The sequence below is a fragment of the Homo sapiens genome, chromosome 1 (assembly GCF_000001405.40).
Source record: "Homo sapiens chromosome 1, GRCh38.p14 Primary Assembly".
Lineage (NCBI taxonomy): Eukaryota > Metazoa > Chordata > Mammalia > Primates > Hominidae > Homo > Homo sapiens.
Window position 1 is genome coordinate 172,600,965 of NC_000001.11, and position 22,166 is coordinate 172,623,130.

The following is a 22,166-nucleotide window of genomic DNA, read 5'->3' on the forward strand; positions in this document are numbered from 1 at the left end:
GTGAAGCTGAGAAATGGGTTCAAGATATTGGCAGAGGCCTGGTCATGTAGGACTTCGTAGACAATTTAGAGTTTGAATTTTATTTGAATCTTTGTATCATTAGAAGTATTAAGAAGTGATATGGGTCATGTCATTAATGCTTAGCACTTTGAGAAGCTCTCCATTTGTTGCTTTGTGGAGAACTGCCTGTTGGGGAACAGCAGGAGCAGAAGCAGACAGGAAACCAATTAAGAGGTAATTGCAGGCCAGGCATGATGGCTTTTGCCTGTAATCCCAGCGCTTTGGGTGGCCCAGGTGGTCAGATCACTCGAGGTCAGGAGGTGGAGACCAGCCTCGCCAACATGATGAAACGCCGTCTCTTCTAAGAATACAAGAAAATTAGCCGGTGTGGTGGCATGTGCCTGTAATCCCAGCAACTTGGGAGCTTGGGAGGCCAAGGCAGGAGAATTAGTTGAACCCAGGAGGTGGAGGTTGCAATAAGCCAAGGTCACACCACTGCATTCCAGCCTGGGCAACAGAGCAAGGCTCTGTCTCAAAAAAAAAAAAAAAAGTAATTGCAGTAGCCTGAATGAGGTGGTATTGACTTAGAGTAGGATTCTAAAAGTGGAGAACAGTGTAAACTTGTTGAATTCAGAATATTTGTAAGTTGTAGAAAGATAAGCCTTAAGGAACTAAGGTTGATCTCTAAGTTTTGGGCTTACGTAACTGGGTGGTTGATAGTTCATTTTATAAGATGGGAAAGACTGGGTAAAAGCACAATTATTTTTTCTCCTTGAGGAGGAGATAGTGTAAATGGAAAGACAAACAAAATGTGACAAAATGTTAACAATTGGTGAGATAGATAAAGGTGTAAATATATTTCTTGTTTTATTTCTAAAACTTCCATAGGTTTCACTCCTATAGAAAGAATTGGAATGCTGCAAAGAATTTTTTTTCTTTAATGTCATAGTTTATTTTCAAAGAGCATGCCCTGCATTTCTGGTCTTTGAAGCACATTAAAAAAATACTTAAAATGATTTGTCCTTTGAATTTTAGATACCCTTATATTTTTCCTAATATGATTTCCTATGATTATTATTTAACCCTCTTCTCATCTCAGGTTTCAGATCGACAAAGCTATCTTGTCATATCTTTGGTTCTTTGTGTTGTCTTGGGACTGATGCTTTGTATGCAGCGTTGTCGAAATACTTCTCAATTTGATGGAGATTATATTTCAAAACTTCCTAAAAGTAATCAGTATCCAAGCCCTAAAAGGTAATATCAGCATTATATTTCACAATTTTATTTTTTTTACTATGCTTTGTATATTTTTGAGAAATTTTAAGCAAATAAAGGGAGACTGAGGTAATTTCTTTCCCTATATGATTATCTTGAAACCAAAACATTAAAAACATCATTCGATAGTAAGATGGTCCTATGCCTAACCTGGCTCTGTAGACTATAATAGAGAAAACACTAATAGTAAGTGCATGAAACCCCTGAAATATTTGGTTGAGAAAGATGCTTAAATGTGGAATTCAAAGGAAGAAGAGAATACTATTTTAATACAGTACCTTTTAGACAAAGATCTCTAAATTTTTTTTTCCACCTGTATTAGCAATAACTGGAGTGTTAGAGTTAGTCCCGTGTGGTATGTACAGTTCTCAATAACCTCTGTGTAGCCTCAACAAAAGAGTAAATTATATGTGCTTTACTCGTTGTAACCAATATGTATTTTTCCTAATGTGTTAGGTGTTTCTCTTCCTATGATGATATGAATTTGAAAAGAAGAACTTCATTCCCACTCATGAGATCCAAGTCTCTACAGTTAACTGGCAAAGAAGGTAGATTTCTGTGGATATATAATATGTATATATAAACATGAAACTAGCTTCTGGCATAAATATAATGTCAGTGTTGTGTTCATGACCATCTGCAACAAAAAATGGATACAAGTAGCCTTTGTCTTTGTGCTGTGTCAAGCCACTTTATCATTTTCACATTTTATATCTGTCTTTGTTCCTAAAAGCCCAGAGGGTAGGGAGGGGGGCTTAGTTTAATTAGCAGTTGGTAGCTTTGTTTGCACATGCTCCTGTTTAGAAGTATTTCTTTTTAGAAAGGGATGTTTGAGAAAGTTCAACAGATATGGAAAACCTGAATGTGCTCCCATAGCATCCTGTGCTTTTCTGCCTCCTCTTCTTATACAGGTAGGACCCCTTTTGTCTCTAGTTTAGGACTATGAGGCACTTTCTGAACAAAAATCTGGTCTCTTTTTTTTAGCTCCAGAACCTATAATTAGGTTCCATTGTCTAACACTAAATAAATACTTACATTTAAATGAATGGATGTGTACTGAGTGGATATTTTCCTATTTCAGTATCTTGTAATTAATGCATATTAATAGAATTAGAAATTTGTTTTCATACTAATATTAAAATAACTAAATTAATTACATATTTTATTTAGGAGTGCTTTCTTAATAATCGATGGTTGTAGGATTTAGTAACTGAGTAGCATGTTTCAATTGATTAAATTATTCAAGTAATCATTCCTGGGCTTCACTGTTTTATTATTATCACAAAGCTTTACAGACTTAACCCATTACATGTGTTTACTTAAAGCTAGTAAATCTCTTCTTCCTCCTTGCTTTTTTCTTTTTCTTTTGGTTGATATGTCTTTTTATAAGTGAAATTTTTAATTTAAGTATAATTATGTGTAAAACGTAATGAATTTTCACAAACAATACAGCTGTGCAAATAACACCTAAATTAAGAAGTAGAACATGAGCACCTCAAAAACTTCCTTGTGCTCTTTTAGTCACTGCCCATCCTTTCCCAGAGTAGCCAGTATTTTGATGTGTAACCATTGTGAGATTCACCATGCCATTGACTATAGGCATTTGTTTATTTTCGTTCCTTATAGTATTCCATTATATAGGTATACTGTACATTATTCATTTACATTTAGATTATTTTCATTTTGAGGTTGTTACATACTTTTGGTAAACACCTGTGCATTTCTGTTGGGTATACACTGGAAATGGGATTGGTGAATCATAGGGTATGTGTGTGTTCAGCTTTAGTAAATACTGTCATACAATTTTCCACACTGTTTTATGAATTTGCCCTTCTATCAGCTGCGTATGAGAGTTACAGTTACTTCATATTCTAAACATTCCTTATTTGAGGTATACCCATGCAATTAGGAAATACGTTAGATTTTTGCTTCTCAGCATTTCTAGTCTTAAGTGAAATCGTGACTATCTTACTATTTCTCTTCTCTTTATCCAATTTTTTAGGGCCAAACAGAGTAGCTTTTTGCACCTGATAATAGAATTACTTCTATTTTAAACAACAGTGTCATCTTGGTGTATCTTTACCAGTAAAGAAAGTTGAGTAGAGTAGGTAGGAGACTGACTTTAGTCCTGATTCTACCAATAGTTAATTCATTTATTTCTTCTGTTGTTTGATAAGTTCTTGTTGTTATGGCATTTATCATAGTATGCTTTGATTTTACCTATTTTTACTTGCCTTATTTTCACTTCTAAGCTCTGTGGGAGAGACCATGTCTTTTTCTTATTGTGATAAAAAGCACATAAAATTTATCATTTTAACAGTTTTTAAGTGCACAGTTCATTAGTAGTAAGTATAGTTACATTGTTGTGAAACAGATCTTCCGAATGTTTTCGTCTTGCAAACCTGAACTCTGTGTCCATTAACCAATTCCCCTTTTCTCCCTCTCTCAGTCCCTGGCAACCACTATTCTATTTTCTGTTTCTATGAATTCAACTACTTCAGATACCCCATATAAGTGGATTCATACAGTATTTGTCTTTCTGTGATTGGCTTATTTCACTCAACATAATGTCCTCAAGGTTCATCTACATTATAGCATGTGACAGAATTTTTTCCTATTAAAGGGTGAAATAATATTCCATCCATTTTATTTATGTACCTCATTTCCTTTATCCATTCATCTGTAAGTGGACATTTGGATTGCTTCCCCTCTTGGCTGTTGTTTGAGTAGTGCTGTTCAGGGGTATACAGATATCTCTTTGCTCATTTTTTAGTTGGATTGTTTGAGTTTTTTGTTTTTAAGTTCAGGGAATTCTTTATAACCTCCGTTATGGATTATAACCCCCATTAGATAATATGATTTGCAAATATTTTCTTTCATCCTTTAGGTTGCTTTTTCACTGTTTTGATTGTGTCCTTGGATGTACAGTTTTTAAGTTCAACGAAGTCCCATTTGTCTATTGTGTTTTTGTTGCCTGTACTTTTGGGTCATATCCAAGAAATCATTATCAAGTTCAAGGTCATGAAGCTTTTCCCCTGTTTTCTTCCAAGACTTTTATAGATTTATGTCTTTAATCTATTTTGTGTTGATTTTTGTATATAGTATAAGATAAGGGTCCAGTTTCATTCTTTGGAATGTGAATATTCAGTTTTTCCAGCACCATTTGTTGAAGAGACTGTCCTTTTCCCATTGAGTGGTCTTTGCACCCTTCTTAAAAATGAGTTGACCACGTACATGAGGGCTTATCTCTGTGTTCTTTATTTTGTGCCATTGGTGTATTTGTCTGTGTTTATGCCAGTACTCTACCACTTTGATTACTATACCTTTGTAATGTGTTTTGAAATCTGGAAGTGTGAGTTATCTAACTTCATTCTTTTTAAAATTATTTTCCTTATTTGAGGTCACTTGAGATTTTATGTGAATTTTAGGGTGAACTTTCTATATAAGCAGTGTCGTTTTACTAGTTCACTTGCAGATTATTTTGGATTTTCAGTGAATACAGGTACGTATACTGAGAACAAAGACAGTTTTGTTTTTTCCTTTGCAGTCCTTATAGCTTTTATTTCCTTTGCTTTCTTAACTGTGTTAGCTTGCATTTTCAGCAATGTTAAATAAAAGTGATTGACAGGCATCTTTGTCTTGTTCCAAAGGGAAAGCTTACAGTGTTTTATTGCTAAGATTGTATTTGTCATAGATGTTTTGTGGATTTTTTATTCTGTATTTTGTCATTATGTGTTACCTATTGTCATAGGTATTCTATAAATTTTTTTATATTATATTTTATTTCCATTTTTAATGTTACAAACATGAATTATATTAGATTTTCTAATGTTAAACTTATATTGCATTTTTAATACCAGTTGCTCATGATATACGTGTGTGAATTTTGTATTGTATATATTATTTCTACATAATTTTGTTAGATAATTATTTAGAAATTTTGCATCTATATGAATAAGATTGGCATGTAATATTTTCTCATGTTGGATTTTGGTATGTAAGGTTTATAAAAATTAGATGGGCAGGGGTATCCCTTTTAATTTTTTTTTTTTTTCCCCTTCCATGCTTTCATTAAGATTTTTTATTGGGGAGGAAGTAAATATTCCCTTTTACTGCCATTATGTTGGAAGTTGTGTACTGGTTCTGTTCTTTTACTAGTTACCCTAGAAGTCAGAAGTATTAATGTTTGCCAAAGTCTCAAGTTCATCAATACTTGTATCTTCTCCTTAACAATACATAGATCTTAAAACTCTTATTTGTCCCAAGCCTTATTTATGTTACTGTTCTTGTATATTTTAATTCTATTCTTTCTGCTTAATTTTAACTCAACAAGGTATTTCTTTTTACACTTAATGTTCATTTAAATTTACCCCACGTTTACTAATGTTTTTATTCTTCAGAGCTTTCATTTGTCATTAGTTAAAACTGAAATATTCTCCTCTTCTTTTTCTTTATCATTTTGAGATTCGTGAGGCTCTTTGGAGCTCTGGATTTGTAGGTTTCTTTTACTTGTTATTGAGAAATTCTCAACCATTATTTTTTCCTCCCAGATATTCCCTGTGCCCCAGTCTCTTTTAGATTCTCATATTTAATTAAACATATTACTTCTCCGTATATCTTCCCTGTCTTGTAAACATTCCACCTTTTTGACTTTTTATGCTGTATTTTGGATGATATCTTCTGATGTGTTTCCAGGCCAGCAGTCTTACTGTTGCAAATTTATTCATTGGGTTTTCAATTTCAGTTATTTTTTCCATTTCCAGGAGTTCTTTTTGTATTTTTTAAAAATCCAGGTCTGTATTTTCCTTGTTATATGTTTCCTGCAGATATTTTCAAGCTTATTTTCTAGACATATTAAGCATAATTATCTTTATAGTTTGTGTTTGATAAATCTAATATCTTAAATTTTTGTGAGTCTGTTCATTGTCTTTGTAAGCTCTTACTCAGGGTATGTTGTGTCTTTGTGTGCTACTTTTTCTCTTTGAAAAGTTATTTGTAGGGATAATTTGAGGCCTAGAATATAGGTTCTTATTTGAGAGGGAATTTGTGTGTGTGTTACATTCATGTAATACCTTACATTCATGACTTGTGGTTTGTTGGGCCACCAGGTGATGATAATTTGGACTGCAAGTTCATGCATGGCTTCATTCTTTACCTGAGAATATAGTCCTTTGGAGTCTCAGTTTACTGTACACAGGGAGATGGTATCTTATTACACTAAACTTTGGGTGGGCCCTAGGACCTGATTTCTGATCCATTCCCTTATGATACCATCAGAACCAAAGTTCATATATTCTTGTGTTGGCAAATGTTTTCAGGGCAAAAATGACTTTTGTCTTCTACTTGACTGTCCGGGTTCCCACTTTTCTTTCAGTTTTAGCCTAGGGATTACTTTCTTGGCAGCTTTTCAATGCTTTTAGTGATTTTTTTTAAAAAAAACAAACTATCATTACTTAGTTGCTTTCATTGTAGAGGTTGATCTGAATAACATAACTGTTTCTAGAAATAGACATCATTATTAAAGAAAGTAAATTAAGATTAGTAATCTGGTAGAAATGACTGTTTAGAGGGATGTTTTGATATTTTCATATATTTGATGACTTTCTCAATAAATCTCTGAAATATAATGTAAAAAATTATAATTGGTTGAATTGTATTAATAAATTTCCCAAATGTGTAGAGCTTCTGTAGTGAATTTACTATGTGTAAGCTTTTGTCTCTGTCAGACCTTAAATTGTTTATTTTTAGTGGATTGAATAGGACTAAAGTCTCATAGCCTTTTAAAAATGTGTGTCTATTTTGTCAGTGTGGGGGTGGGGTTGGGATATATCTTGAAGCTGCTTAGAGTAATGAAACCTTAGAAACTTTGGGCTAAAACTAATAAATCTAATTTACTCACTATGCCAGAAGTGTTCATTCATTATTGCTTAGTGATATATATTGCATGTTCAAGCTGTTTTTAGATTGGGATTTCATAGTTTTGATCATAGTAATAAACAGAGAAAAATATCTTGGATCTCTTTTTGTGTTTATTTCTCTAACTGGCTTCCAAACACGGTCACGACTACTTGTTGCACATTGTTAATCTACCTTTGTGACACAGTTTAGAGGCTAGTCTTTTAGGGAAGTATTCAAATGATCTGTAGGTTTGGTGTGAGCTTACCCAGGAATGTTTCTTTTCTTATCAGGTAAAAGAGTGAGGCTGGGCCCAAAGAAAGATCGTTATTGTATTGGTTGATAACCAGCTACTAGTTAACAACTTAAGGAAGTATAGTTATTTGAAGACGACCAGTCAAGCATAGGAATCATATCATCTTCCACCTTGCCTCTTTTTGCTTACTAATTTAAAATGCATAAATATATAGTTAACCTGATACAAATTCATTGGTTCTATTACTAGAGGATAATAAGGAATGAATGATTTGTCTTATTTTAGTGTTTAATTATAGCAAATCCACCAAATCCACTTTACATTTTACATCTGCTTTTTTTTTTTTTTACTTACAGTAGACCCAAATGATTTGTACATTGTAGAACCCCTCAAGTTTTCTCCAGAAAAGAAGGTAATTGTTTATTTCTTTTTAAGTTTATTGCTATGTTTTGTGATAATAAATGAAGAAAAGAGGTTGAAAGGTTTAAGGTAATTACCTTTAAGTAGTCCTTAACTGAATGTTTATTTTCTATCATGATAATGTTGTAAATAAATATTAACAGGGGTCAGCAAGCTGTGACCCACAGGCCATATGGGCCATGAGCCAGATAGGTTTTCTCATTTTTAAAGAGTGATAAAACAGAACAGCATGCAAGAGAGAAAATGTGTGACCTGCAAAGCCTAAAATATTTACTGTCTGACCCTTCACAAAAAAAATTTGTTGATCCTTGGATGATTGTCATTATTTATTACCGAATGCATGCCAAGCACAGAGCATGCACCGTTCCTCTAATCCTCACCACAACCTGAAGATGATGTTATCCTCATTTTTTTTTTTAATAAAAAAACAGCAACTCAGAATGTACTTAGGATTTTTTGGCTTCAAAGTCTTTGCTTTTTCATTTTGCCTTTCAAATTAAGTTATACTAATTTTAGTTGTAATTTCATCTAGGTGAAAGAACTTGGGCTTTGTAGGCAAATAGCCTAAGATTCATTCTCAACCCGGCTGCTTACTACATTGTAACTTGGGCAAAGAACCAAACATCTGAACCTTGCTTTTCTCATTTAAGAATCAAGGATAAAATACCGACCTTTCAGGGTTAATAGCTGCCATAATACATGAAAGCAACCTGTATGCTCTCTGGCAGTTAGTAGGTATTCAGATATTAGTATCACTCCCTAAACCTATATTCATAGGTAGCAGGTAAGCAATTTAAAGAGTTTTGATTCAGTAGTATTTACAAAATGGGAAGATGATGCTAGTATCTATATAGAACATAACAATGTATGTGTTCTGTGCTGTTTATAATACTGTTTTACTTTTCACCAGGAGGTGGCACTTCTCTATTAGCTCAGCTCTCTAGGTGTTTGATAAGGTTACTATGGGAAGTATCATTACTAACTTTTCTTTTACTTGTGTTGTAGAAGAAGCGCTGCAAGTACAAAATTGAAAAAATTGAGACCATAAAGCCTGAAGAACCATTGCACCCCATAGCCAATGGCGACATAAAAGGAAGAAAGCCCTTTACGAACCAGAGAGATTTTTCTAATATGGGAGAAGTTTATCACTCTTCTTATAAAGGTCCTCCATCTGAAGGAAGCTCAGAAACTTCATCACAGTCAGAAGAGTCCTATTTTTGTGGCATTTCAGCTTGCACAAGTCTGTGCAATGGACAGTCTCAAAAGACAAAAACTGAGAAGAGGGCTTTAAAACGAAGACGATCTAAAGTCCAAGACCAAGGAAAATTGATAAAAACTCTAATACAGACTAAGTCGGGATCATTGCCGAGCCTGCATGACATAATCAAAGGAAACAAAGAGATCACCGTGGGAACATTTGGTGTTACAGCAGTCTCGGGACATATCTAAAATTAATTGAACTTTTCATACAGAAGACTTTTTTGTTGTTGTTCTTTGAAGAACAGTCTGTAGTATTTGAAGGGTTTGGGGGAGGGAGAAAATATTAATGGGAAAGGCATTCAGAAATTATGGTTTCTACCTTTTTAAAAAGTAGATGGGATTGTGTCAATCTTGGTTAATGAGCTACAGTTTTACAAAGCTGATCACTTCCTATAAGGACAATGGTAGACATTTTATAAAGATGTTTTTTCACAAGATTAATTACTGGGACAAAAGTAATTTGGAAGCCCAGTTCCTTAGGTGGGATAGGAATGAAAGCCTAAACCTCTTCCTTTAGCTTTGTTCCTATTTCTTGCACCTTCCCATATTTATGTGCCTTTTGTCTATTTATAATGCCACTGGAAGAGGAGGGATAACTTTTTCTGTTATTTGATTTCTTTTATAACTTTGTTAGGTTTTTGAAGCTGCAAACACTACAATGCTTTGAGGGGGTCTGTGCCTGAAGCTCAGGAGTGTGGATCAGACAGTCTAAAGATCCTAAAAACTTGCCAACTGGATCTTTGTTTAGCAAACTCACTGGAAATGAACACTTAATGGAATTTTTAAGTCTGTTCTGTTAGGTAGATGGTGATGCTCTTGTTATTTTCACTTATTCAGACTGGATTACTTCTTACTTAGTTACTAACTCAATGAGGAAAAATCCCTACAGGATCTTTTTTTGCAAACAACTGATATATGCAGACAAATTTTTGACAAATTCACCTTTTAAACACACTTAACCATTTGTGAAGGTTTTCTTTAGCTTACATTTTAAACATACACAATAAACACTAATCCTCCAAACTTTCACTGTTTTTATTAGTATGAATATAAAATTTGAAGGTTTGGCCAATTAGTACAAGTCTCATGATATAATCACTGCCTGCATACATATGCACAGATCCAGTTAGTGAGTTTGTCAAGCTTAATCTAATTGGTTAAGTCTAAAGAGATTATTATTCCTTGATGTTTGCTTTGTATTGGCTACAAATGTGCAGAGGTAATACATATGTGATGTCGATGTCTCTGTCTTTTTTTTTGTCTTTAAAAAATAATTGGCAGCAACTGTATTTGAATAAAATGATTTCTTAGTATGATTGTACAGTAATGAATGAAAGTGGAACATGTTTCTTTTTGAAAGGGAGAGAATTGACCATTTATTGTTGTGATGTTTAAGTTATAACTTATTGAGCACTTTTAGTAGTGATAACTGTTTTTAAACTTGCCTAATACCTTTCTTGGGTATTGTTTGTAATGTGACTTATTTAACGCCTTTTTTGTTTGTTTAAGTTGCTGCTTTAGGTTAACAGCGTGTTTTAGAAGATTTAAATTTCTTTCCTGTCTGCACAATTAGCTATTCAGAGCAAGAGGGCCTGATTTTATAGAAGCCCCTTGAAAAGAGGTCCAGATGAGAGCAGAGATACAGTGAGAAATTATGTGATCTGTGTGTTGTGGGAAGAGAATTTTCAATATGTAACTACGGAGCTGTAGTGCCATTAGAAACTGTGAATTTCCAAATAAATCTGAACACTTGTCTTTATTAATTACTGGCTCTTCTGTCTTTTAAAAGAGAACTCAGAAATTATTAATCTTTGAACAGAGATTTAAGTTTTTGCCACTTTTAAAGTTAAATATAGCAGCATTCCATTCAATATTGATCACATTTCAGCCAACTACAAAATGATGGTACTTTTACATAAACATTTTGCTCCCTATGCTATCAGAATTTCAGTTTTTCATATCTAAATACAGCATAACATTTTGTAACATGAGGTTTATTTTTTCCTCTCTCACATAACTACATGAGAAAAAAAACTTAAGTGAAAATAATAGATTTATGCCTATTAAGAAGCAAAAACTATATAGATATTTATCCAATGGGATTTTTAGTGTTCCCTGATGATCAACCTCATTTTATTTCTTCTAATGTTAAGTAAAGCATTAAAACAGTATGAAATAAAAGGAAACTAGGGAATTGGTAAGAACAAGGATGCAAAGTAAAACAATTCTTTTAATTGAATTTTTAAAAACATTAAAGTTGTGGCTCACGCCTATAATCCTAACACTTTGGGAGGCCGAGGCAGGGGATCATTTGAGGAGTTCGAGACCAGCCTGACCAACATGGTGAAAACCCGTCTCTAATAAAAATTAAAAAAAAGTAGCCGGGCATGGTAGCACATGCCTGTAGTCCCAGCTACTCAGGAGGCTGAGGCAGGAGAATTGCTTGAACCTGGGAGGCAGACAGGTTGCAGTGAGCTGAGATTGCACCACTGCACTCCAGCCTGGGTGGCAGAGTGAGACTGTCTCAAAAAAAAAAAGTTATGCATACATATAATTTGATAAATTAGTTTTATAAGGCTTATAAAGTAAGAACAGAAAACAGTTCTCTATTCTGTACCATTTCACTCACACACAACGCACACACACACACACACACACACTACCAGTACCACCCATCTTTCTCTACCAAAGATTTCTTGCTTCCCAGTGGCAAACATTTTTTATTCCGTCTGCAGTTATTGTGCTTCCCTTACCTTGCTGCTTATTTTTCCATTTTTAGATGTGTCCTCAGTTTGAATATACAAACTTGTACGCATGAACATGAGATAGATATAAACTTATATTGGTTAATGTAATTGGATAAGTCTATTCAAAATCACACAACAGGACAACTTAGAAGTACTGCTTTTCTTCAACTGATTGATTTAAAAAATTTCAAATCTGTAGATAAGTTGAACACCATGTGCCTTTGCCCAGATTCACCAGTTGCTAATCTTTTTAGTTTTCTTCATGTGTATGTGTTTTATATGTATATGTGTATTATATGTATATATGTATGTATAAAGATATGTATGTGTGTTATGTGTATATATATAAAGAAACATCTTTTGGTGAGCCATTTGTAAGCAAGTTGGGACATTATGACCCTTTCCCCCTAAATACTGTAGCATATTTTTTCCTAAAGTAAGGACATTCACTTATGTGACCATAATACCCGTATAATATGTAAGAAAATTAATAACTCCATAATATCTAATACACAGTATATAGTCAAATTTCTTCAGTTACCCTCATTTGTTTATTTTGGTCCAGGGTCCATTCAAGGTTCATTTGGTTGTATTGTCTATTTAGTGTCTAAAAAAAATAGACTACTTCCTGACTTTGAATATTGTCCTTGTGCAAGGTCCATACTTACTTTCTCTGAATCATCCCAGTTTTAGTGGATGAGCTGCCCAAGTGAGCAGGAAGAGCTTTTTTGAGTAATGTGTTGATGTTGTCACTGAAATTTTATCCCAACCCACGAGTATTTATAGTTAACACATTCTTTAAAATATCCTGTTGGAGCAATAACCTCCGCATTACACTCCACTTAATCTATTACTTTAAAAATTAATATTTCAGGCTGGGTATGGTGGCTCACGCCTATAATCCCAGCATTTTGGGAGGCCGAGGCAGGTGGATCATTTGAGGTCAGGAGTTCGAGACCAGCCTTGCAAACATGGTGAAACCCCGTCTGTACTAAAAATAGAAAAATTAGCCAAGTGTGGTGGTGCACACCTGTAATTCCAGCTACTGGGGAGGCTGAGGTGGGAGAATCCCTTGAACCCAGGAGGCAGAGGTTGCAGTGAGCTGAGATCGCACCACTGCACTCCAGCCTGGGCGACAAGAACAAAACTCCATCTCAAAAAAAAAGGATCTTTCAAATACTTGCTTACAACAGAGTTTATTACTGCTATTTTGAAGTCATATAGCCTGGGCTACCAAATCTGCTTCATATTTTTTGACAGATCACCAAATACTAAAACCCAAACAAATGCCTTATAACACTTGTAAGGACTTTTGAGCAAACATAAGTATTGATGATTTTTTAAAAAGTGAATAAAGAGCAAGTTTTAATTCCAGGATAGTTTAAAATAGCCAGCTCCCCAGGGAAATGGTATATTACACAGTTTAAGAGCAGGTGCTGACTGGGCACAGTGGCTCATACTTGTAATCCCAGCACGTTGGGAGGCCAAGATGGGAGGATCACTTGAGGCCGGGAGTTCAAGACTAGCCTAGACAACATATCAAGACCCCATCTCCACAAAAAGTTTTTTTAAAATAAGCTGGGCATGGCCAGGCGTGGTGGCTCATGCCTGTAATGCCAGCATTTGGGAGGCTGAGGTGGGTGGATCACAAGGTCAGGAGGAGTTCAAGACCAGCCTGGCCAACATGGTGAAACTCCATCTCTACTAAAAAAATACAAAAATTAGCCAGGTATGGTGGCATGCACCTGTAATCCCAGCTACTCGGGAGGCTGAGGCAGGAGAATTGCTTGAACCCAGGAGGTGGAGGTTGCAGTGAGCCGAGATCGTGCCACTGCACTCCAGCCTGGACAACAGAGTGAGACTCTGTCTCTAAATAAATAAATAAAAGCTGGGCATGGTGGACGACAGAGCGAGACTCTGTAAATAGATAAATAAATAAATAAAAATAAGCTGAGCATGGTGGTCCATGCCTGTAGTCCTAGCTACTCAGGAGGCTGAAGCAGGAGGACCACTTGAGCCCAGGAGTTTCAGGTTGCAGTGAGCTATGATTGTACCACTGCACTCCAGCCTAGGCAACAGAGTGAGACCCTGTCTCAAAAGCAAGTGCTTTAAAGTCAGACTGCCTGTTTTCATATTTGCTATCCACCTCTTACTGGGTACGGCATTGGACAAATCACAGTCTCATTAAACATGAGATTTCTCACCTGTAAATGAAGATAAGAGCACCTATTTCAAAGGGTTGCTTTGAGGATCAAGAGTGCTAATAACTGTCATATACATGGCATAGTACACACTAAACATAAGCCATCAGTTTTCAGATGCTCAGGGTTCTGATCCTTGGTTTCTGTACATCTATCAGCAGGGGTCAAGAAAGGAGCTCATTATGCTTGGTGTAAGACTTCCATCATCTCCAGCCTCTCTCCATCATCACCACCATTTGAAAGGTCAGTAGGGAGTTTTGAGTCCAGTATACTCTGAGAAAGACCACCCCTCAGTTTTGTCATCATGAGGGTCAGTAGGGCAAACCAAAGCTCTGCAGAGCTCCTGCAAAGATGTTGCCACCCCTTTCTACTGCCCAGTATGAAGTCTTGCCAACTTTGTGCCTCAAAACCATTAAGGTGAATTTCATGTCTTAGATTCTTGTTAATTTTATAACCACAAGAAGCCTCATATGACTTGTAACATTCTTTTTTCTGGATCCATATTCCATCCCCAACTCCTAAAACACTTCTGTGCCCTCTGGAACTCTAATCCAGTCATTAGTAAAATTCCCTGGAATCTTTCATTTCTTTCAGCCTTCGCTTTGCCTCTGTTCTATTTGAAACTACTTCCCTGAATCCTTCTCAGGAGGTCACTTTTTTTTCCTATACCCCTCACACCAATGGGCCTGAAGATAGGCTAGTTGTTGTCCTTAATCTTCAATGCCACTATAAGACTACTCTCCACTTTTGCTTAAATTTCTCTTTGAATCTTGTATCAACAAACTATACCACCTGCTGTCTCTCCTTATTGCAAATGATCCCCTGTTTTCTCTCACCCTTATTCTTGGGGTCACTTATTCCATTGCTGCTTCTGTTATAATTCTTGATGATTTCAATATCTATCTTACATTAGTTTTTCTAGTTTCTCAGTTCCTTGCTTTCTCTAATGATCTTGTTCTCCAGACTGTATTGGCCACTTACTCCCGTGATGAAATCCTAGTTTTTATCATTACCAAAATCCATAATTCTTTCTTAATACGAATTTTAAGCATCTGGTTCTGACTACCACCTCCTGTTTTACTAGCTCATACCCCCTTCCCACCCTAACTCTTAACAATTCTTTCATCCCACCATATCCTACAATCCATTAGTCATACCACTGGGACAGCCAAGTATAAAGGGGTCCCTAGAGAAACTATGACCAGCCTGTGCACTGAGAGAACAGGTTGGAGCTACAAAAGTTTGTGCCCTTTGCAGTGGAGAGGAGCTTGGCCTCTCCTGTTCTGGAGTGGAACCTGCCATTGAATCTGTGAGGCAGGAAACTGGCTAGCAGGACTCTTGCTTTGCTGAGAGTTCCTCTTTCCCTTTATTTCCTCTTCACCCAATAAATTCCATTTTTCTCAACCTTCAAAGTGTCTGTGAGCCTAATCTCTCATGGTCGTGTGACAAGGACCTTGTTTTTAGCTGAACTAAGGAGAAAGTCCTACAACAGCATTGACACCCAACATGGGGCTTAAGAAAGGGTGACTGAGATGCAAACCAAGAAATCTCTCCCTTTCACTTCTAAGTGTTTTCATCTCTGGACTTCTGAGGGTAGGGGAAACCAGGCCCTCACCCCCATTACTCCCAGGGTCAGGGGTCTTTCCATGGCCTTTTCCTTCCTTTTTCTGGATGGACAGGTGAACAGTGGCTCCTCACTCCCCCTCCCTTCCCAGTTGGGGCTGGGGAATGCCACACATTAACAGTGTCTTCATCTTCCCCTGCGAAGGAGTTCAACTCTCATCTGACAGCAATTAAGTTTCTCCCTCCGGAAGAGGAACCCAGTTGCATAAGAATAAGAGGTTCTCCCCTAGGCATTTTTAAAGTGTTTTTTTTTTTCCTTCCTTTTCTCCACCAGGTCAAGAGCTGACTTTTAAGAAAGGTTTTTTTCCTCTTAGAAGACGTTTTTCTAAGCTAAGAATGATAAGGATCACTCTTTATATTCTCTGTAAAGTTTTAATTGTGAAAAAGGATTTGTGAGGCTGGTCTTAAGCTGTAGCCAACTGGTGTGCTTTGAGTGTCTGTATGGTTCGTAGAAAACTTTGCTTCAGGCCTCCATCTTGTTTTACAACTTGGGGGCATGGCCTGTAACCCAGCAGCAAGGCTTTGTTTAGCAATCCTGCCTTGGGGAATTAGTCCTTTCTGGTTTGATATCTGCATGTTTTTCTAGCCATGTCTCTTAAAGGACTCCACCTGGTGACTGTGTTTTCTTCTGCCTGTGTAGCTATATATGTGTTGTGTGTGATGTCTAGAAAAGGAGCTCTAATTAATTGGCCTAAAGGAAGACAAGCACTTGAATCAAATATTTTTTAAAGGGAAGGTAAAAGCTGTGATACCTTTCAGTTCACATGACTTTAATATTTGAGAAATAAAAACAACCTTAAAGATTACTGGTAAAAAGCAGATGTCATCAAAATATAAATAGGTGGACTAAATTACGCAGGTCAGATGCAAGCTTTGCTAAGTGTTTTGAGGTTATAAACTGCTTTTTGGTGGTAAGGCCTGGGGACATATGGAACTAACCATGCTCTTAATTATGCTGGAAGGAGTCAAACCTTGGCTGCACCTGGCACAAAATTAAAACAACTTGCCAGGTTTTACATTAAAGTTAAAATTGCTAGAGGTTACCATTATAACATGTAATTGAAACTACTGAAAATAGATTCACATGCAAGGTATTTAAGAACAGTAAAATGTGTTTTTAATAAAAGATTACAAAAAGGCATGAAAATGTAAATTCTTGCCTAGGGTTAAAGAATTATTCTAAATTAGGATAAAGCTGCGGGTTCAAAAAAGTGGTGGAAGGATTGTGGGAATTAATCTTGTGAAAGAGATTCTCTGTGTGAACATATTGACTAGGTTCAGGGGGGTATATTGTGTAGTTTTTGAATGAAAGCACAACAGAGTATTCTTGGGGCACTGATTTGCCCTTTGGCAAAATTTGTAAAGGGTTATAAAAGGCTTTTGCTTCTTTAAAATTTCTGAGTCATCATTTTGGCAAAATAAACAATTATGGTCATCTAGAATTCTATTTTATAACATCAGGTGTTTTAAACTGCTAACATATTTAACAGGCTTCTTAAAATCAAACTTTAGTTTCAAAATTTTCTTTCCTGACACCTGGCTTTTTGGATATATCAGAGGGCCTCTGGAGTGTTCAGAAAAGAGAGGTAAACAGGATTATTTTACATGTTTAGGTACATGGGATCGACAAAATGATGTTCAATCTTCTTTAGGTATATTTTGGTGAATAATACTAATATATGTTCCAAAACCATATGGGATTCCTAAAATTCTAATGTCTAAGTATATGCTATCAATCATAATTAAGGTTATGTTAAGTTATTGTAAACCGTGGAGATAACCAAACTTCTTTGTCAATCATGTTTCTAACTGTAACTACCCTGGACATTTTGTTATTCGTAGACAATTGTTGTCTTGTTCTAATCTTTTTCAAAAGACAGTTTATAAAAAGCTATAGAACTATAGGTAGGTGACCTCAAACACAGGTTTTTGATAACTTTGGAGACTGTGACATTGGAATAAATGAAAAATGTACAGGACTCATGAAGAGCTAAAATGTTCATGAATATCAAACAAATCAATAACTAAATGGACTGAACTCAGGAAACTGAAGCAAATCTTTTTTACTTTGGCTTGAAATGTTGCTGAACTTTGTTTTGTTTTTCAGAGTTGAGGAAACTTACTTTGAACTATTTATGGCCATTAATAATTGAGTAAGGTATACTCCTGTGAACAAAATTTGGAGCATGTTTGTTTCTCTCTTCCTGGTTCTTCTAGAATTTGGAAACCATCTGTGAGTATTCTTAATTCATAGCAATATAGTTGTTTGGATCAGTGCAATAAGAATCCATTTTTCTTTTGCAACGGGATGCAATTGGAGAAACTGGTTGTTTTACCAAGGCTTTGACTGGAAGTGTATGCTTCACTTTAAGGAATCAAGCCTGACTTGCAGAGCTGATAACAGCCCCTTGGGGAAAAAACTGGCCTCATACCATCATCTACATAGTCTCTCTACAGGGCTCCTGACCTGTGGTCAATAAAGAATGTCACTTTCTAACAGGCCTAGGAGCTCCAAGTTAATCTTGGGACCTTAAGAGGAGAGGATCACCCAACTAACAGGTGTTTGAGGATACAAACCCCTGGCTGGGCTTGAATTTAAAAGGTCTTATCTGAGATTCCTTACAGAATAGAGTTCCATCAAAGCCAATCCAAAAGGCCTGTGTAGAAATAATTATTCTTGTTGCACTTTATGCAAGTAATCAGGCCAAGTATAAGATTAAAATCTATTGCAAACAACTCAGTCCTATCATGATTTTTTTTAACAAAAATGAGGACCGGAGAGAAATTATGTTTCAAAACTCATACATTTGTCATTAAATTATAAGCTCATTAGTTGTTTTTAGGTTTTTGCCTACATTTTAGACACCCTGCTTGTTGCTGTGAACCAACCAGCAATCTCCTGCTGCAGCTCAGAAAGAACAAAAGGGATGGGTAATGTAGAAGTCTGGATCAATATTCTAGTTCTGAGCAATTATCCTGCAAATCCTGCCAGGTGTTGGGAATAAATAGGACATCCATCACTCAGAGGATTCCTTTTGGGAAAGTAAGACTAAGGGAGCTAACCAAAGCCAAGCACCATGCACCCAAATCTTAGCAAGCATAACTAGCTACCAGTCATCTGAATGTATCACAAGACATCCTTTTCTCTCCCTTGTTGGAGGAGGGCTCAGTTCCACAGTTTCACCTTAGCATTCGGCTTATTGATAAGGAGTCCATGCACCATCCCACAACCCCACCAAGACACAGTTTTGTCCCAAAGAATTTTGTCAATTCTAAGCTTTGGATCCCTAGGAAAGAAAACTGGATCTAAGGGATCCAGAGGCAGATGATAATGGAAGTTAAAAGGCAGAGCACAAGTGAGCATGGTTGATTCCTGCTGATTAAGACAAGCCTCCTGTTTCATGGATAAAGGTCATGCTAGTATCACTGGCAAAAATGAGGTCTAGGGAATGCCAAGGCTACTGACAGCAGGGGGAAAGAGACATAGGTGAGAGCAGATAATTTCTATTCTCTAGGCCCTCCCTGCTTCATGGGTACAAGCCGTTTGGCACTCATCATGGCACCTGCCAAGGTCGCTGGGACTTGGGGCTGCAAGGACAGAGAAAGAAAGAGGATGTTCTTCCTACTGTCCCTCACGTACCTTGGGTATCTGCTTGGAAGAGAAAGGAACCAGGGATTATCGGGGGAACAAGCCCCCAGTATTTCAACATAGGTTATTTTCTATTTTCCCTAAGAGTCGGCTGGTCTGAGAAATAAAGAGAAAGAGAGAAATTTTACAGCTGGGCCTCCGGGGGTGCCACCACATATTGGTAGGACTGTGGTGGCAACCTCAAGCCACAAAACCAGCAAGTTTTTATTAGGGATTTCAAAAGGGGAGGGGTGTACGAATAGGGAGTGGGTCACAGAGATCACATGCTTCAAAGGGCAATAAAAGATCACAAGGCAAAAGAGCAGAGCAAGATCACAAAGCAAGGGCGAAATTAGAATTACTGATGAGGGTCCATGTCCCGCTGGGCACGTATTGTCTTGATAAACATCTTAACAGGAAACAGGGTTTGAGAGCAGACAACCTGTCTGACTAGAATTCACCAGGCTGAAATTTCCCAATCCTAGTAAGCCTGAGGGCACTGCAGGAGACCAGGGCATATTTCATCCCTTATCTCAACCACATAAGACAGACATTCCCAGAGCGGTCGTTTATAGACCTACCCCTGGGAATGCATTCCTTCCCCCAGGGTTATCAATTATTAATATTCCTTGCTGGGAAAAGAATTTAGCGATATTTCTCCTACTCACACGTCCGTCTATAGGCTCTGTGTGAGAAGAAAAATATGGCTCTATTCTGCCCGACCCTGCAGGCAGTCAGATCTTATGGTTATTTTTCCTTGTTCCCTGAAAAATCGCTGTTATTCTGTTCTTTTTCAGGGTGCACTGATTTCATATTGCTCAAACACACATGTTTTACAAACAATTTGTACAGTTAACTCAATCGTCACAGGGTCCTGAGGTGACATACATCCTCAGTTTACGAAGATGATGGGATTAAGAGATTAAAGTAAAGACGGCATAAAAAATTATAAGAGTATTGTTTGGGGAAGTGATAAATGTCCATGAAATCTTCACAATTTATGTTCAGAGACTGCAGTAAACACAGGCATAAGAAATTATAAAAGTATTAATTTTGGGAACTGATAAATGTCCATGAAATCTTCACAATTTATGTTCTTCTGCCACAGCTTCAACCGGTCCCTCTGTTCGGGGTCCCTGACTTCCCGCAACAAGGGATGCCTGCTCCTCTCTTTCTAGATGGGTAGCCGTTCATCTTCACTCTGTACCCCTTTCAAATGCATCCTGAATCTCCTTTGAAAAAAAACACCTTCTTCTTCTTTTTTCCTCCTCTGTCCTCTCTTCACTGATAGGTAATTGTGTCTCCATACTATGGGACACTCCCCTTGGATGCATCCTCTGAACTGGGAAAAGTTAATTTCCCAAACCTTAAACTGGTTGGCTTAGGATTGGACTCAGGGGAAGGGAACCCAGGAGCCCAACATGTTGGCAAAATGGTAAAAGGCCTCGGGATTTTTGAGCTGTCCTTACCCCCTGCTTTTCTCATTTTAATACATGTTTTCTAATGACCTGGTTTGTCTCTTCTTGCCTTCAGGTCATCAAACTCCAAACAGTCATGCAACTGGAGTCTTGGATGATGGCCCCTTCTGCTGAGAACCCTTAGGTCTCTGAGGGAGCGCTGACTGTCATTTTCCTCAAAACAGTGCCCCCTGTCAGCAGGAAGCAGTTAGGATTGGTCTTTGTCCTTATCCTTATTCTAAAGACACTTGGATATACTTCTTTAGAGGGAGGAATGAAACAGCCGAGTATAAAGGGGTCCCCAGAGAAACTCCAACCAGCCTGTGCACTGGGAGAATGAGGTGGAGCCACAGAAGTTCACACCCTTTGCAGTAGGGAGGAGCCTGGCTTCTCCTGTTCTGAGGTGGAACATGGGGATGAATCTGTGAGGTGGGAAACTGGGTAGCAGGACTCTTGCTTTGCTGAGAGTCCCTGTTTCCCTTTTTTTTCCTTTTCACCCAATAAATTCCATTTTTCTCACCCTTCAATGTGTCTGCGAGCCTAATCTCTCATGGTCATGTGACAAGGACCCCATTTTTAGCTGAACTAAGGGAACTCCTACAACACCACTTTTGCACCCTCCCTCATTCCCTTGAAGTCCTTACTCTTCTTACCCAGCTTGAATTCCATGGTCAGTCCTTAAAACTGCTCTTTTTCATATATTTTCAACTACCTTGCCATCTCTTGTCTTGATATATTGCTGAGAAAAGCAAAACCTTGGTTAAATCCCGCTTTCTGCTACTGCACCCTCTGTTCACAAAGCTAAAGTTGACCAGGGAGAATCGCCATGACTCTTCTCACATCAATTCATGACGATTATCTCAAGTAGGCCCTTACTGCAGCTGGCAATTTTACTACATTTTTCTAGTGCATTTATTGATTCTCCTGAACTATTTCAAACTTTCTCCTCAAAACACACACATTTCCCTGTTCCTACTGTCAGCTGATGACCTTCCTATTTCACTGAGAAAATGCAGAAGTAATTAAAGATCTTCTCACAAGCTCCCACCTACCAACTTCTGTTCATATTATCTGTCTTTGCTCATGTAGCTGTCTCCTGGACGCCAATGCTCTACTGGTGAACTAGATTGTGTCAACAAAAAAGAGTCCAACTATGTAAAATATTTGAAGAGATTTATTCTGAGCCAAATATGACTTACCTTGGCTGGTGACACAGCCCTCAGGAGGTCCTGAGAACATGTGCCCAAGGTGATTAGGGCACAGTCCGATTTTATATAATTTGGGGAGACATCAATCAAATACATCCAAGATGTACATTAGTTTGGTTCAGAAAGGAGGGACTACTCAAAGCAGGAGCTTCCAGGCCACAGGTAAATTTTAAAATTTTCTGGTTGACAATTGGTT

General features: G+C 37.1%; 1 protein-coding gene and 1 pseudogene across 8 annotated transcripts in view; one reads left to right on the top strand and one right to left on the bottom strand.

Moving 5' to 3' along the window:
• The window catches only part of SUCO (SUN domain containing ossification factor), a 79,485-nt gene extending 68,616 nt beyond the window's left edge, over positions 1-10,869 (top strand). For 7 of the 8 annotated variants that reach the window (NM_016227.4, NM_014283.5, NM_001282751.2 and 4 more), the window contains 4 exons: positions 1,100-1,254; positions 1,732-1,823; positions 7,783-7,838; positions 8,852-10,869. In NM_016227.4, coding sequence (NP_057311.3) covers positions 1,100-1,254; positions 1,732-1,823; positions 7,783-7,838; positions 8,852-9,295 — 747 coding nt within the window. In that variant the 3' untranslated portion in view covers positions 9,296-10,869. Of the gene's footprint in view, positions 1-1,099; positions 1,255-1,731; positions 1,824-2,095; positions 2,187-7,782; positions 7,839-8,851 lie in introns of those variants that run through there. The other variant, XR_007060764.1, reaches the window with a different exon arrangement.
• RNU6-693P (RNA, U6 small nuclear 693, pseudogene) lies at positions 12,464-12,570 on the bottom strand (annotated as a pseudogene).